Genomic DNA, 18,184 nt, shown 5'->3' with positions numbered 1-18,184 from the left:
CAAGGTTTTACTCTTTTTAAAATTACAAACAAGTCATCCAATGTAGTAAACAGTTGCTATTTTTACATTTTACGAACTGGAGAGGCCGGGCATGGTGGCTCACGCCTGTAATCCCAGTGCTTTGGGAGGCTGAGGCGGGTGGATCACCCGAGGTTACCAGTTCGAGACAAGCCTGGCCAACATGGCAAAACCCCATCTCTACTAAAAGTACAAAAATTAGACAGATGTGGTGGCGTGCGCCTGTAATCCCAGCTACTCAGGAGGCTGAGGCAGGAGAATCACTTGAACCCGGGAGGTGGAGGTTGCAGTGAGCTGGGATCGCGACACTGCACTCCAGCCTGGGAGACAAGAGCTAAACTCCATCTCAAAAAAAAAAAAAAAAGAAAAAAAGATCTGGAGATACCAGCAGAATTCCAATACTCCCTGTCTTACCTGATAGGTGACCTTATGAAATTTACTTAATCTTCATTTTCTTTCTTTTGCAAAATCGAGATATTGAATAATTCCTTACAGAGCTGCTGAAGGGGTTCCTAATATATGATCTGACACACAGTTAGCTAAGCCTGATGCCTTCTTACTATTAAACTGAGATGGAGAATGTTTATGTAATTTATGCAGGATCACAGGTCTGATTCCTTTTGGAGAGGATCTTGATCCAAAGTTGTTTAACTACCAGTTGAATAACGTTATCATTCTGTCATCATGTACCTTAACTCTGGACCCTCCATGAAATATGCCATTTAAAGATAGACATTCCAGTTTTTCAGATAAACCAATTCTTGAGCACTTTCTATGTACAAAACAGTACGCTGGGTACTATGAAGGATGTACAGATAAATAAGATGTGGATCCCATCTTCACAGAGCTTATTATAACCTAGCGAAGAAGAGAGATACACACAAATATCTATAGTATCAGCAGAATATGAAAAATGGACTCTTAAAATAGGACTAAGTGCTTTCAACTGGGCTATTGGAACATTATTGTCATTTCTTCCACCTTTCAACCGATATTTAAAATGTGAGTAGCAGCCTCACCTTGAGAAGTTCTAGAGAAATAATGGCAAACAAAATGAGTAAATGCTTGCTCACATGGAACACAAGGCTAATTTTGGAGCAACATAAAACATACAAATGTATAATTTTAACTATAATATGTGCTCTGAGAGGAAAGTTAAGATTGCTATGAAAATAGGTAGCATTCTGATATGATTTAGTTCACTTTAGAGATAATTTCTTGAAAAAGTAATTTTTTAACTGAGCTCTAAAGACTGAATAGTAATTATATGGGTGAAAGGGGAAGATTCCAGGGTACAGTATAAACAGAACTAGAGGCAACATGGTGTGTGGTGTACTCAAGGACTGAAAGAAGGCCAGTAGGGCTAGGTCAAGGAGAGGGAGAAGAGGTGATACGAGAAGACACTGAATTGTTACACAGCAAGGCCACGTTAAGAATTTAGTTTTCTATTTTAAAAGCAATAGGACCATGTTGAAGGATTTTAAGCAAAAAACAAAACGTAAAAACAAAGTGTAATTGTATTATTATTATTATTAATATTATTATTATTATTATTACTTGGAGATGGAGTCTTGCCCTGTCACCCAGGCTGGAGCACAGTGGCGTGATCTTGACTCACTGCAACCTCCACCTCCCGGGTTCAAGCAATTCTCCTACCTCAGCCTCCCAAGTAGCTGGGATTACAGGCACCCACCACCATGCCTGGCTAATTTTTTTTTTTTTTTTTTTTTTTTGTATTTTTAGTAGAGACGGGGTTTCCCCATGTTGACCAGGCTGGTTTTGAACTCCTAACCTCAAAGTGATCCACCTGCCTCAGCCTCCCAAAGTGTTAGGATTACAGTGTTAAGCACATGAGCCACTGCGCCTAGCCTTTTATTTTGTTTTAATCACTCTGACTACATCATAAGATTGGACTGGAAAAGACCAAAATAGTAGGTGAATGCTGTTGGATAGCTTGGGCCAGAATGGTGGCAATAAAGAGAGAAGGAGGTAGATGGAATGGATAAATGGTTACAGTATAAACACTATGGAATTTGCTGGTTGATTGTGTATTTCCAGGAGGAAAGACAGGAAAGATGTAGGTTTCTGGCTTTCTAAGTGGACGTAGGGAATATTACCATCAAAATTATAGTCCTAAGATATGTGTTGGGTGACATGCACATTGTCGTAGATTGCTGGGTAGTTGCATTTGAATTGTGGATTCCTTAGTAGACAAGTAACTACCAACGTTTGTTAACTGCTTTTTTGGGAAAGTGACAATATTTTTAGAAAGGAAGAATAAGAGCAAGAGTACTAACCTTTTCTGAGTACCTGTGATAGGTCAGGCATTGTGCAAGGTACTTTGTATATATGGGTTGAAATAAATATATGTTAGTATTCTGATAAGCTTTAAGTTGAATAGCTCATCTACAGCTGGGCTTCTGAATCTTGGCACTGTTGACATTTTGTGCTACATCATTCTTTGCTTTGGGACGTTGTCTTGGGCTTTGTAGGATGTTTGTCAGTATCATTGGCCTCTGTCCACTAAATGCTAGTAGCTCTCTGCCTTCCCCTTCTTCCCCACATCAGTTGTGACAGCAAAAATTGTCTCCAGAACCATTGTTCTACAGAATAATGTGAGATATTTAAGAGGAGGTGAAAAGTTCATAGTATTTTATGTATCCATTAAATATATTCTAAAAATGGCCTCCTTTATCTCTTTATTGTTATGTCTTAAAAGTTGAAAGACATAATGACAGGCTTTTAAGTTAAACTCAATCTTTTCCCCCAAAAGAAATCATACCTAGTATTAAAATATCCTGAGAGTTTTTAATTGTTAGCGATATTGTCATTCATGAGTATCTATGTATATAATTTTTCCAACATACCAGTGACTGGATTTTGTCAGTTCAAATATAGATAGTTTTACTACTTGAGAATTTGGGCTCTTGTATTTGAATAAAAATGTGTTTCTTCCAAAAGTTTTTATTTAACTCACTACCTTATTTCATTTGTATTCTCTGGAATGTGGTATTTACAATTCTAGTGTATCAGATGTGTTAACTGAGCTCTGCGTTCAAAAGTACTGTAGATGAGAATGGGGAAAAAATCGCCTCAATTTAAGGATTCATTAGAATTTAGCTACTAGCAGTGAAAACTTATATCTATGAATTAGCAGAAGAATTCCATAGTCGAGATGATTTCATATTTAGCCCATTAAAAAAAGCAGCTGTTCTCTGATATTTACTAATAGGATTGGTCCTATTGTAGATGCATTCGCTTTACAATAACATTCTATAGAGTCAACCTAGGAGTTTGTAATACTTAAGTTATTTTAGACCCAAATACTGTAGCAATCTTCTGTCATTATATTTTTTAAAAATTAAATGCTTCTGAATGTCCATACAATTAAAATCGTAGCACTGAAAGCACTTTAAGATTCAATTTCTCTGTCCCTTTGCCAGACACGGTTATATCTAAACTGTTGTGGCCTAATGGAAATAAATCCTATTTTAAAAGACCTCTAGAGACATCATAGTTGGCAAGCAATTCATGGTTCAGTGACCTTTTCTGTTAACTGCTTCTTTTCTAGACTTTCTTTAAGTTGTTCACGCTATTATTTAGGCCGATTATCATCTTTTCTTGTGGCATTGGTAGTTATAAAAATTGGCTGGTCCCGGTACTTATTAGACCTAACCTGAAGACTTCTTAAGTATCTGTTCAACTAACTTATTTTCTTTAGATGAAAAAGGTCTTTTCCTCCAACCTCTGTATAATGTTTTTCCAAACATTTATCATCTTTCTGACTCATACACATGTCTCCTGAATGTGACAAGCAGCTGGAAGATAAAAGAGGAATCTTCCTCCGTCCCTCCCTCCCTCCCTCTTTCCTTTATTTCCTTCCTTCCTTTCTTTTACTTCCTTGCTCTCTTCTTATCTTATTTATACCTGAAGATTACTGTCTGAGCAATGTATATTCTTAGTACATAGAAGATTTCAAAACAAATAAGTAATTTAGAACCTATGATATCACATTCAAAAAGGAAGAAAGTCTTCTATTCTAAATGGTAGTGGCTGTGTGTGTGTGTGTGTGTGTGTGTGTGTCTGTGTGTGACAGAGAGAGACAGGGGGGTTCTTGTCAAAATATACTGTTTTGATGTTTCAAAAAAGATGGATATTTCGTTCAACATATAAAGATTTCAAGTGATGAAATAATTAAAATTGGTTTACCCTTAAAAATGATTGCCATACTTTTTAATTGCAAAAATAAATTTTTCAACCAGCATTAAGTCTGTGTTATCACCTGTTAGTTTCCAGGTCTTTTTTAAACTATAGCTAAATATTCTTAAAATATTTTTAACATCATGAATTCCTTAAAACCAGTTTATATATATATATGTGTATATATATATGTATATATACATGTATATATACGTGTATATATATGTGTATATATATATGTATGTATACATGTATATATATGTGTATATATATGTGTATATATATATATATATGCATGTAGTAATGATTTTGGTAGTAATGATTTTAGGTTAAACAACTATTTGTGGCAGTTTAAATGTAAAATCAAATGTATTTTGTATCCTATTGAATATTCTTCACCACTAATTGATTAGCCAGCAGGAAAATTTGTACAGAGAGTTAGATATTGTCAGGAGGCCTAGAAGCCAGTCTATGGTGAACCCCCTGTGACCTTGATAAAGTTCTTTAACAATTTAGGTTTTCTGTTTTCTCATGCAAAAGAAGTTTAGACTGATAAGTTCTAAGGTCACTTCCAGTGCCAACATTTTATAGTTTTATTAGAGACAGAAACAAACAGGCTTTTCCCCTCTCTTAGCAAGAAAAGGGACTTGGGACACAGGTGCTTCCAACCTTAAAAGCAGAAAGGAACGAAGTTGAGAAGGGCTATGAGAAGGATAGGAGTGCAGCCTCCCATAAATGTCGAATGTTAGAAGATAATGAATGAACAGGTTCCAAGTTACTCTGCTTTTTTTTTTTTTTTTTTTCTGATTCTTTCTGCCATGCCCAACAGGACAATAATTAAAATCTGCCTGTTTCATAGAAAGGACCATATTCTCTGTATGGAAAGGAAATCCTTTTACCTGACCTTTGGAGAAATGTAGAGAAAGGAGAAATATGAGGAAAACTTAAATAAATTCCTATAATTTATTCTTTAGCAGAGAAAGTTAGGGATGGTAATTTTTTTCAAGTGAGTGAAAGGATTTTACATAGTCCATATTAATGACTTCTATTTGTTTACTGAGAGTAGAACAAATGAAAGGGGGGTGAAATTCTGAACAGACAGGCTTTCCTTTAGATAACAGGATTGGTTTCTTGATAATCAGAGTTGTTAAAAGCTTAAATGACCATTCAAGATAGACTCCTCTCCAAAACCTCTCATGTTTTAGAAGCTTCCATGTTAGCTGATGTTCTTAGATAACTTTTAAGATCCTTAATAGGCTATAAAATATTTTTCTGTTTTCTTTTCTTTTTTTTTTTTTTTTTTGAGACAAGAGTCTTGCTCTGTTGGCCAGGCTGGAGTGCAGTGGTGCAATTTTGGCTCACTGCAACCTCCGCCTCCAGGATTCAAACAATTCCCCTGCCTCAGCCTCCCAAGTAGCTGGGACTGCAGGTGCGTGCCACCGCGCCTGGGTAACTTTTTGTAATTTTAGTAGAGATGGGGTTTCACTGTATTAGCCAGGATGGTCTCGATCTCCTGACTTCATGATCCGCCTGCCTTGGCCTCCCAAAGTGCTGGGATTACAGGCGAGAGCCACGTCACCCAGCCTAAAATATTTTTCAGTTGTCATCTGTCATTGATGTGATATGCAAATACATTAGCCTAAAGTTCTTTTTCTTTATTATTATACTTTAAGTTATAGGGTACTTGTGTACAACGTGCAGGTTTGTTACATATGTATACATGTGCCATGATGGTGTGCTGCACCCATTAACTCGTCATTTACATTAGGTGTATCTCCTAATGCTAGTCCTCCCCCCTCCCCCCACCCCAGCCTAAAGTTCTTAAACCCATTGGATTTTAATTAATAAAAGAATTCTACTCCTATGGGTTGACGGCTAGTAAAAACTATAAGCAAGAAAAGGGTGCATTAAAAATTTTAAATTAGGTGCTTTCCAGTTTTTTTTGTTTTTAATATATATTTTTGAAATGTTTTAGGAATTTTAAATTACTGAAAATACGTGAAAATATTTAGGAATCATTTCTCTACTTTTCTGACTTTAAGTAAGGGTTTATTTTAACTGCTTCAGTCTAATGGGATCAAATTTATTTTCACAGATTAATCCAAACGGTAATCCTATAACTTATTGTTATCTCAAAGCAAAATTCTGTTGTTACAGCTTGTCAGGTCCTCTCTTTTGTAGTGCCTAAATACTTCTTACTGTCATTTAAAAGGCATCATCTGTAAGGTGTCAAGAAATGTAACCACGTTCTATCCATTCCGTGTTTTTGAGTCTGGGTAGCATAACTGGTGATGCTATAATAAACATTAAGCCTATGTAAATGAGAAAGTTTCTTTTTAACTTTTCTAACTTGAGTGAGTGAAAAATTATGCTTAGTTTTGTTTTCTCTGTAATGAAAAATAAAGACATTATTTCACTCCTGTTGAAGGGAACGTATGAATTAAAAATGTTTCTAAATTGCCTTTAAATTTTGCGTATGGGACAAAAGTATGCAAGAGAAATTTTATCTTTGCTTTATAACTGTACCACTTAACAACAACATTCTTTAGCATTTATTTAAACTATAGGAATGTGTATCAGGTCTAATTAATTTTGATTTGCTGAAAGCTATGGAAGTTATTTATTTGAGTAAAATATATTGTAGGTTTCTGCTGGGGCTATTATGAAAAAGTTCTGCATTTGGCAGTAATTATATTTGCTTATAAAATAGAGAGAAATGAAATAACCATTTCTAGTATTTTAAATATATATTATTTGAGCTTTCTCTATTAAGATGCCTAATGTTTCAACATTGAAAACAGAAAATGTAATTATGATTTATAGATAAGATTATAAAGTTTTCTTAGTTCTTGTAATTTATTCACTTTTTTCTATGCACCATCTCAATTAAAAATATGCAAGAATTTAAATGCAACACCTTTTTATAGGCTTTCTATTCCATTTATGGTCATAGGCCAGCAAAACTTGGATGCTTGTTAAAAATGCAAAATCTCCAGTCACACCGCTAACCTGTAGAATCATAATCTGTATTTTAACCAGCTCCCAGGGTGACTCATGCCTATTTGCGTATGAGAAGCATGGATTTCAGTTTCATAGAATATTATTGGCAGTATACACCTTTCAAAAATTGAACTGATGATGGAGTTGTGGGATTTAATGTTCTTTTTTCTAAAATAATCAATTTTTGATTTCTGTGTAGTTTTAGCAGCTAAGATTTATAATGTTTTAAAATCCATTACGTATTAGTTCTCTAACCTGTTGTCTGGTAGCAAAATGTAAAGTTATTTTAAAATGTTTTATAATTTTATAGCTCTCATTCATTGTAGCTCTGCCATTTAATCATAGTAGAGAATTTAAGCTTCATTTCTATTTTTCTTAAATTAATCATGATTATACCTAAAATGCTAACAAATATTCATCCATGTACAGTGTGAGCCATATATTCAAGTATTAACATGTTCTTTATCTTAAAAGAAGAATCATTGTTAAGTCAAATCTTATTACTTTTCTGTTTCATTTTATGTTTCCTTATTTTTATTTATTCCATGTTTTCTTTTTTTGTTTTGTTTTAGTTGGGTCTGGTAAGTTGACATTTTATTGGCCATCTTCTCATCACCGTGTCACTGTGACTGGAACTTCTCTTCCCCTTTCCATCCATACCCTTCCATGTCCTTCAACCAATCAGCCTCCATGTTTCACTTGTCATTGGCCACAAAGACAGACTGCACAGAATAAAGTCTGCAGGAAGTATGGGTAACTGTGAAAAGAGTAAAGGTAACGGGGTTGCTAACTTTATATCTTATGAAATTAAATGATGTGTGATCTGCATCCTTTTATTTCTTCTCTCCTGAAATAAGTGATAGGATTACATCTTGGTTAAGTACTGTTCGAATATATATATATCGTAAGATTAAACAAAAATACATGCAGAGAATGATTTTGGTTCTTTTGGTTCAAAATATATTTGTGAATTCATGTATATCTCTCTGAGTTTTTATAACTATTGTTCTATAACAGTCATTAAAAGTCCTGTTGGTGAATAATAGCCTTGCCCTTAGGACTGTTTGCACTCATTTTCATTTCTGTGTGTCAGATTCATTTTATTTTGTGTAGGAAATAATCCCAGGATATGTCCAAAGTTTATCAAAGCGTACTTTGATAAACATTTGTCCCCATATAAATAAATAAGCCATCAAGTTTCTAAGTGCTTACCTTGGAGGAAGGTCCAATCATTTCATAAGGTCACTAGAAAGCAATTTTTAGATAATTGTACATGAATATGCAAACGGGCATGCCAGAGAATAACTTTGTCCCTAAAAGAATCTCTCTCACTATTTTTAAGTTAAAAAGTTACAATAGGTCTGGCATGGCGGCTCACACCTGTAATCCCAGCACATTGGGAGGCCGAGGTGGGTGAATAATTTGAGGCCAAGAGTTCAAGAGCAGCCTGGGCAACATGGCAAACCCCCATCTCTACCAAAAAATACAAAAGTCAGCCAGATGTGATGGCGCACACCTGTAATCCCAGCTACTCGGGAGGCTGAGGCAGGAGAATCACTTGAACCCGGGAGGCAGAGGTTGCAGTGAGCCATGATTGTGCCACTGCACTCCAGCCTGGGCAACAGAGTGAGACAAGACCCTGCCTCAGAAAGAGAAAAAAACAAAAAGTTACAATAATATTATAAAAGTGACTTTTCATATTAATACAGATAGGTTGGATTGTTCAATAATAATGTAATATCTGGCTATTTGAAAAAAATAGGTTCCTATATGATACCTTACAAAAATACATGTAGAGAATGAAATATAAATGTAAAATAATGAAGATATAAAAGCACAGGATGATAACTGAGTTGAATACTTATATACTTTATTATGTATTATATAATCTATATTATATAATTTTATTGATACAACAACAAAAATGCCTAAATAGACTAGAAAGACTAGCAATAAAATGGAAAAATATATTTGCAACATATAGGAGAAATGGCTAAAATTGTAGCCTATCAACAGTTCTTAGAAATCAGAAAGAAAATCTGAGTTCATGAGCACAATATCCACAACAAATTAGATTTCAATGAAAAGATAGTGTGAAGAAAAATGTTAACATTTCAGATTGAAAATTGTTAATTAAGAGGAGAATCTGTTGTTAGTTTGGCAAAGATGTTAATTTTCAATGTTTGTGAGGTTTGGGAGAAAAAGCCATTTGTATGCTGTTAATGAAAGTATCAGTTGATCAAAAACATTCCTGAGCATGGTTTAGCTATACTTATTAATACACTCTCGATCTTTGCATATTTTCAGACCCTGTAACTCTACAGCTAGCAAATAATTTTGATTATGCTTGTCAGAAGGATGTTGACATTACCATTATGTTTAACAGTGAAAAGTTGAAATAATCTAAATTTAAAACAATTGAGATTGGTTCAGTAATTAAAGGTAATTTGCTTGTTTATTAAACAGTCCTTAAAATGAATTTTTTTAAATAGTATGACCCAATTTCTATGGCAGAATTGTGGGTAGCTTTTCTTTTCTTCCCTTTGTCTAATTTTCCAAATTTTTACCCCTGAACATAAATGATCTTGGTAACCTGATTATGTATTTTTGATTACAGCAAGTTTAAATTAAAAATTGTAGCTTTCAAAAAAAATCCAAAATTTCATCATAAATATCATAAACATCAAGTGGACACATTTAATGAATGGTGTTCTCAATCTAAATTGATAGATAACGATGACAGATTGATAGATAGAAGCATATTTAGGCCATTACGTATTTTTTCTTAGAGATATATCTACTGCAACTGATATTTAACACACATATAGAAGAGGGTTTTTAAAAGTTATGTTTCTAAGACATGTCTTGTGGCTGATGTCACTGTTGATGTTGGCTTCAGAATATGCCTACAAAATACAGTAAATTTGTTTCCAGGCAAATATCCTGTGTGGAAGGATTGCTTCAGGATGAATGTAGTTAGCATAAGGGTTTGTATTCCTTGTTCTCAAATAAGTCTTTGAGGTTTGAGGAGAACTGGCATTTTATAAAAGAAACATAGATTCTGGCACACATTCTTAAACATGCTTCTGAGATTTAGGAAAGAGACCACCCGAAGTTTTTTACTTAAGTAAGTGGTTTGAACATTTATATTTTCCTACTCAAATTCCCTGCATATTGGAAAGTCATATTCTCCCACTCATCTAATTAATCACTTGGATTTCTTTCACTGAAGCAAACCAAACTCCAGTCTGAATTTAGTGTATTATCCAGTCAATTCTTTCAATTTCTTGGTCTGATTTTGACATCAATTATTCCAGCCTTTAATTAAGGAATAGAATGCTCCTGTATGGATTTGTACTGGAGGAAAATCCCCAAGCAGTGATGCCCTCGCCTATTATTATACCTGGGTAATGATAGTGTTTGCTACATTCATGAGTAAGCCATTCAATTACAATCACAGTTTTAAAAAAATTATAAGCTAGAACTTCAGTGTTACCAAATTGAACTTAAACTATATTTCCTAACTTCCTATTTTCTTCCCTATAAGTTAGAGGACATTTGAAAGCCTTTGACCTGATTTTTCAGGTCTCCTATAATTTTCTAGTCAAATGTTATAATTTCTACTAAACCTCAATTTTTAAAAAAAAAGAGTATAGAAAAAGGAACACTAATCTAGAAGGTAGGAGTTCTAATTACTTTCTTCAATTTTGCCCCCATGCAATCATCAAGTCGTTTTACATGTACTTTTTTTTTAAAGGGGCTTTATATTTGAAATATATACATGTTTTTAATATGCATATTAAGTAGCTTTTAATATTTCTTTATGGCCTATAAATTCAAATACCCAGATTTAGGGACATTTCAGCTATTTTATTAAAATTTATAAATTTATAAAATCTATAACTTTATATATTTTATATATATTAAAATATATTTTACATATATATGTATATTAGATACAACTGACCAAGAAATATTAAGTCAAAGAAAAGTATCTTTTCAAATACTGACCTTCATTAACAAAGAAATTATACTCTTGTGAGCAGACTGATGACATTTGTGAACATAATCTGAATCTAATTTGATTCATATTCACATTAAGGAGTTTCCCTAAGTGATTGATTTAAGTAACTCAACGTACTTTTAAAGAGAAGGTTAGAAATAATGGAAAAGTCTTAAAAAGTGGAGTAGACAAACCCTGTCCTGTAGAAACTATTAAATGTCGCTTGAAGCATTCATTCGCTTCAATTTAAACCGAGACAAGAGAGGAGAATAATTAGGTGTTTCAGAGCTGATACGAAATGAATTGGAAAAGTGTAAACAGTAGGTAAAAAGACTTACATTCTGTGCACATTTTTCCGAGCACAAAGCTCAGCCCAAAAACAAATACCTTTTTTTTTTTTCCCAGAAGTGACTCCATCAGCACACCTAATGTTTTCAGCTACCATTGTATTCAATGTAATTGACACAATTTTCTGACACTATTTACTGCTGGATGAAGTAGCCATTTAAATCGGTTTAAATCAAACAGTTTGGACAAAGCTGGCAGTATTTATAATGTCAGGATGAGCAGATGTTTCAAATTTTCCCTCATTTCCATATATATTCTGTTTGAACATGTCCTTGCCTATGTAAATGAAAGAGGCATTTGATTCCACTATTGCTTTAAATTCATTTCTATTCAAATAATTGGACTGAAGATTTTAAATGGTTATAATTTGCATGGTAGCATTTCAGGAGATTTTGAGTTAAAGTAATTTTAAGACCTGCCTGCATCAGGAGATCCTTGTGTGTATGATTAAAGCTCATTCACCTTTAAGCAGATCTAAAGGAGAAAAGATAATATTTGTTCATAAAAAATTCAGGTATATTTACAATGTGTAGGGTCCAATTGTAGCTTTAGAATTCCTTTCATTATGTGGGTTAAATCTTAGAAGGTCAGGTAATAAAAAACTTCATATAACAACTCTATTTCATTTTCTAACTATGAACTTAACATTTTAGTTTCAAATTAAGGACAAGAATTGGTATATCATGACTGTTTTACATAACATGTTGTATAAAATAACAGCAGCACTTAGAATATAAGAGATTGTCTCAATTAGGACAATAACAACGTGCTTTTAATTCGGTGTAATTTGTTTCACCTCCTTCAGAACCTCCACATTTTGTTGTGAAACCCCGTGACCAGGTTGTTGCTTTGGGACGGACTGTAACTTTTCAGTGTGAAGCAACCGGAAATCCTCAACCAGCTATTTTCTGGAGGAGAGAAGGGAGTCAGGTACCACCTTTTTCTAACTTTTTTTTTTTAAATCAGCAAAGATGGTTGCCAAGATGTATGAGAAGAAAAACCAACATATTACTTAGTCATGCAGCTGTCACATTAAGAGAACTGGCAAATCTCTGAGTGCCCAGAACATTTTAGCAATGAGAAAGAAGACAAAATTGTCTTCACCGCTTGAATTCTGAAAGCATTTTTCTCCACCTAGTTGTGGTACACAAGGTAGTATATAAAATTAACCTTTATTTCTAGCTCAGCCACATTAAAAAGAAAAACACTATTTTCTCAACATTATTTAATTATTATTTGTATTATTCAGGTATCTGGAATTATATATTAAAGAGATTTATGTACATTTAAAACAGATGATAATTATTCAGTGATTTCTTTGAAAGCTTCAGGAGTCTAAATTGCCTTCTGAATCATTAAGCTATATGAAATTCTCTTTAACAGAGATGTTGTGTTAAATATAGTTTGTTATATTCAAATGTGTTGAAAACTATCATATGCAGTCAACATTTGCTGTAAAATCCAATTCTATTTTATGAACTTCAAGTTTTTATATATATGGAAACTGAAATACAGAGATTTATACTCTTTTGAACTCTAAGTTCATTATTGGACTTCAGTTTAATAAATAGGAAATCTTAGAAGCGTTTAAAATATATTTTTGTCTCATCTCTTAATGGTTTGCCTTCTTCAATAAAACAAAAACGCGGCTGGGCACAGTGACTCATGCTTGTAATCTCAGTACTTTGGGAGGCTCAGGCAGGAGGATCACTTGACCTCAAGAGTTTGAGACTAGCCTGGGCAACATAGTAAGACCTCATCTCTAGAAAACATTAAAAATAAACAATTAGTGGGGCATGGTGGTGAATGTTTCTAGTCCCAGCTACTCTGGAGGCTGGGGCAGGAGGATCACTTGAGCCCACGAGGTAGAGACTGCAGAGACCTCTGATTGCGTCACTGCACTCCAGCCTGGGTGAAAGAGTGAGAACCTGTCTCAGAAAATAAGTATAAAACAGAACGTTTCCCTTGTTTCTGATATGTGTAAATAAACAATTCTCATCCATTTTTAACACTTACTCCTGACCTTTTTTAATTTTGCTTAAATCAGTCGTGGGTGTTTGTTTCATGGTCTTGCTTCTAATGTGCTCTTATAAAAAACAGGTCATTTACTGACTGCATTTAATATTTGGTAGGGAATGCTAACAAGTTCACCTTTTCTTTCACTTTAGTAGCCAAATATTGATTTGATTATGGTATATAGGCCCTTATTTGAATTCTAGTGTCTTGGTAGGTTCTAACACATTCCATTTGGCCTCAAAGAACTAAATTTGCTGACAGCAAATTAAAGACAAGAAAGAATGAAATATTTCAATAGAACAGGAAGAATTTTAAGTGCATTTTAGAAGGAAATATTTGTAGCAGTAATAGTAAATCCACTGGAACCTCTTCTTAAAAGAGTGATATTTTGATGATTCATTTAAGTTATTTAAACATTAGATCAAATTTCCAAATAATTTTGGTTTCATTCAATAACACAACTCATTTTTCCCTAAAATGTTGTCATTAGACATATATCCATGGAATAGTAGTTAAATGTTTATAAAAGAATGTATATTAAAAGGCACCAAAGCTTTGTAAAAGAATCAATTTTGTTGTGGTAGGGAAAATGTTACTATTTTTTATTTCATGAAATTCAATAACATGATCTATTTTTTTGTGTGACATATACACTAACTCTAAGAAGCGTGATCTTTTAATTAAATTCAACATATGAATTTTAGAAAATACATAACAGATATTCTCACCAATTAACAAGAGAAACAAGATATGTGTTAAAAGTTTGGCATAGGTTATGGAACTTTTATGATGGATAGCTAACAGAGATGCTTATTGTGGTGCCAAAATGGTATCCTTGAATTTAATGTGTCAAAATTTGTTTACATTTTAATTCTTTAATATATTAAAGGTCTTAATATTAATAATCCTAGTAGTCACATACAGGTGAAGCAAGACTTTTGTCTTTGTTTTGCTAAATATGTCAACATTTTTTACCATAATGATAGTTAATTTTTTTTTTTTTTTTTGAGACAAAGTCTCGCTCTGTCACCCAGGCTGGAGTGCAGTGGCATGAACTTGACTCACTGCAAGCTCCGCCTCCCGGGTTCACGCCATTCTCCTGCCTCAGCCTCCCGAGTAGCTGGGACTACAGGCGCTGCCACCACGCCCGGCTAATTTTTTGTATTTTTAGTAGAGACAGGGTTTCACCGTGTTAGCCAGGATGGTCTCGATCTCCTGACCTCGTGATCCGCCTGCCTCGGCCTCCCAAAGCACTGGGATGACAGGTGTAAGCCACCGCGCCCGGCCGGATACTTAATATTCTTATATATCTAATATTGCTTAAAAACAGATAGAAAAATATGTATCAATCTTGAGAGTTACTTAAATTTTCAAATGACCCTATTTGAGGTTAGATTATTAAACCTTGTATATGTATATGTGTACATATGTAGATATTTACATGCATGGACATGTATATATGTGGGCATGTGATGGGAGAATACTTAGCTCATTTTTGTGTGTGTATATAGACGGATACATATGCATATGTGTATGAATACTTTTATATGTATGTTTTTACATGTAAATGCATAAGTGCCAAAATATTGGAACCTAACAATTAACCTATTTTTATTTTCCTCCATCCCAATTTCTGGGTTCTAGAATCTACTTTTCTCATATCAACCACCACAGTCATCCAGCCGATTTTCAGTCTCCCAGACTGGCGACCTCACAATTACTAATGTCCAGCGATCTGATGTTGGTTATTACATCTGCCAGACTTTAAATGTTGCTGGAAGCATCATCACAAAGGCATATTTGGAAGTTACAGATGGTAAAGTGTAAAACATTTTATTTCAAAATGTCCAAGTTTGACTTAGGATCCAGAGAGGGTGCCAGTAGATATATTTATTTCCAACTTTATACCTTTTTATGGCTATTTTAGTGTAAAACCTAAAAGGGTGTTGATAGAATAAGTTCAAAATTATTCTTATTTTAACCTAAATGTATTATAAATTTGTAGCATTCAATCAGATTCATAAAAGCATAGCAATTATCTAAGGAGAAGTTTATACTAAATGGCTGCACATAGGACTGTATCTATGTTTTGGAAAAACAAAAAATATTTTGTAATATCTTAGTGTAAATTGCCATCTCTTCTCTTTCCTCTATAATTTAGTACATAAGATAAATCTTTAGGTCCTAAGCCTAAACCTAACAGCTCACAACTTATGATAATGAACAAGTTTTCTTCAATGTGATTTCATTCTGTCAACTCCCCTAAACATGCTCAATTAGTGCCAAACCTATTGTAAGGACACAGTGCTGAACAAAATCTCCAAACTGTAAGATGGACAGTAGTGACAATTTGAGAAGAAGATGAAAGAAAAAGAAAAAAACACATATAAATATGTTTTATTCTCTGTATTTATATGTATTTTTTCTTTCATATCTTATTTCATATACATATAAATATATATACATGTATAGTATATGTGTGTGCAATCAAGAAAGTGTTACAAGAATTTTTCAAATTAAAAATAGAACCAAAGCCATGACAGTGGCAAGGGATTTCTTACTTCTGAAGCTAAATTTATTGTAGTGATTGGAATAATATTTTCACTATCAATTCCAAAAAGTAGATGAAAGAGCACTTAAAGAAAGAAACAACCTGTCTCTCAGGGAAGAAAATGGAACACGAATAAAAGAAGAGAAGCAGGAATAAAAGATGCTTACTCTATATATTCAGTATTGTTGATCTTTTAAAACGTCTGATAATGACTCAAATAATCAATATAATAGCAGTTGCTTTCTAAATTAGAATCTGTGGAGTCATCTTTGACTCCTCATCTTTCTTTATCTCTGTATCTATTCAATAATCTTTTTAATCCATCGAGTTGTCTTCATCAACTCCCAGAGCTAGTCATCTGTAGTGTGAAATTGTAACAGCCTACTAATTCCATCCTGTTTCTGGTCTTCTCCCCAAATTACATTTTCTTACTGTTGCTAGAATACTGTTTCTCTAGACCACTCTTATTTTCCCGATTACGTAAACTGAAGTATAATACGCATGCCGTGAAGTAAGTAAACTAATGCAGCTTGATGAATTTATTCATGTCGTGACCACTCCGATCAAGATATGGAACATTTCCAAGACCATAGAAGGCTTCCATTGACTCTCTTCTAGTCAACAAGCCTCTCACTAGCAGAGATAATAACTTTTCTGACTTTTATCATCATTGATTCCTTTTATCTATTCTTAAAATCCAGCTAAATGAAATCATACAGTAGATAGACTTTTGTGTATATTTTTGCCTCAAAATAATGTCAGTAAAATACACTTAGGTTCTTTTTTGTTGCTGTGTAGTATTCCATCTCATAAATAGACCACAATTTATTTATGTATTCTCATATTGATGGAGTATTTTCAGCTTTGGATTTTTGTTAGTAAAGCTCATTATTCCTGTACATGTCCATTGTTGGGCAGGTGCACTCAGTTATCTTGGTTTGCCTTTAGTGGACATACATACTAATTTCTTTTTGTTTTCCCATGTATTTGAAATACAAGTCTTCATCAGATATGTATATTGGAAATATTTCTTCCTGGTCATTCTCTTAATGATGGTTTTAGGGATTAAGTAATTAATTTTGCTGAAAACCATTTTTTTTTTATGATTAGTGTGTTTACTCTTCTGTCCTACCTTGAGGCCTTGAAAATATTCTTCTATGTCTTCTTCTAGAAGCTTTATTATTTACACCTTTGATATTTTGTGATGCAAATTTTTTTTATCTACCTTGAGTTAATTTTTGTGTATGGTATGAGTTCAAAGTCAAAATTCTTTTCATTTCCCCCATATGAAAACTAATAATTCCAGCATAATTTATTGGAAAGATTATCCTTTCTCCACTGAATTGCAGTGGCATCTTATTACAATTCCAATAAACATAGATTTGTGGGCTTATTTCTGGTCTATTTATTCTATTTTATGCCACCCAAAATGCTAGGATTATAGGTATGAGCTACCACGCCCGGCCCATATGTGTTAATTATTGTAGCTTATACTAAGTCTTAAAAACTGGTGGTATAAGTCTCCACCTTTCTTTCCTTGTTTTGAGTTTGCTATTGAAGATCATCAACATATTCTTACAAATTTTAAAATAAACTTGTGAAAATTTCACATGTACACACCCACTCCCTAAACAAACAAAAAAATCTGAATATTTAATTTTGATTTTATTTAAATTGTTGAATAACTTAAGAATTAACATCTTAATCTGAGTCAATTCAGGGAAACAGTAAATATCCCACATGTATCTCTCAATTATTTAGGTCTTTAATTTCTCTCAGCAATGGTTTGTAGTTTCAAGACTAAAGGCTTTGCACATATTTTGGTACATTTATACCTAGGTGTTTCATGATTTTGATGTGACGGTGTGTGTGTGTGTGTGTATCTACAAAACTCCTAGCCAACATTGTATCTGGTGGTAAAATATTAAATTATTTCCCCCTGAAGTTAGGATCAAGAAAAATATGTCCATTATTGCCAATTCTGCTCACTATATTGGAGGTCACAGGCAATGTAGGACAAGTAAAAGAAATAAAATGTATAAATATTG

The 18,184-nt window shown here is 33.5% G+C and overlaps 1 protein-coding gene across 18 annotated transcripts in view; it reads left to right on the top strand.

Moving 5' to 3' along the window:
* The window catches only part of ROBO1 (roundabout guidance receptor 1), a 1,170,760-nt gene that overhangs the window by 1,066,852 nt on the left and 85,724 nt on the right, over positions 1 to 18,184 (top strand). For 10 of the 18 annotated variants that reach the window (XM_017006982.2, XM_011533980.1, XM_011533978.1 and 7 more), the window contains 3 exons: positions 7,791 to 7,799; positions 12,375 to 12,499; positions 15,230 to 15,401. In XM_017006982.2, coding sequence (XP_016862471.1) covers positions 7,791 to 7,799; positions 12,375 to 12,499; positions 15,230 to 15,401 — 306 coding nt within the window. The remainder of the gene's footprint in view (positions 1 to 7,790; positions 7,800 to 12,374; positions 12,500 to 15,229; positions 15,402 to 18,184) is intronic. The other 8 variants (XM_047448664.1, XM_047448661.1, XM_017006984.1 and 5 more) reach the window with 1 other exon arrangement.

This window comes from Homo sapiens, chromosome 3 (assembly GCF_000001405.40).
Source record: "Homo sapiens chromosome 3, GRCh38.p14 Primary Assembly".
Classification (NCBI taxonomy): domain Eukaryota; kingdom Metazoa; phylum Chordata; class Mammalia; order Primates; family Hominidae; genus Homo; species Homo sapiens.
This window is presented reverse-complemented; position numbering and strand designations above follow the sequence as displayed.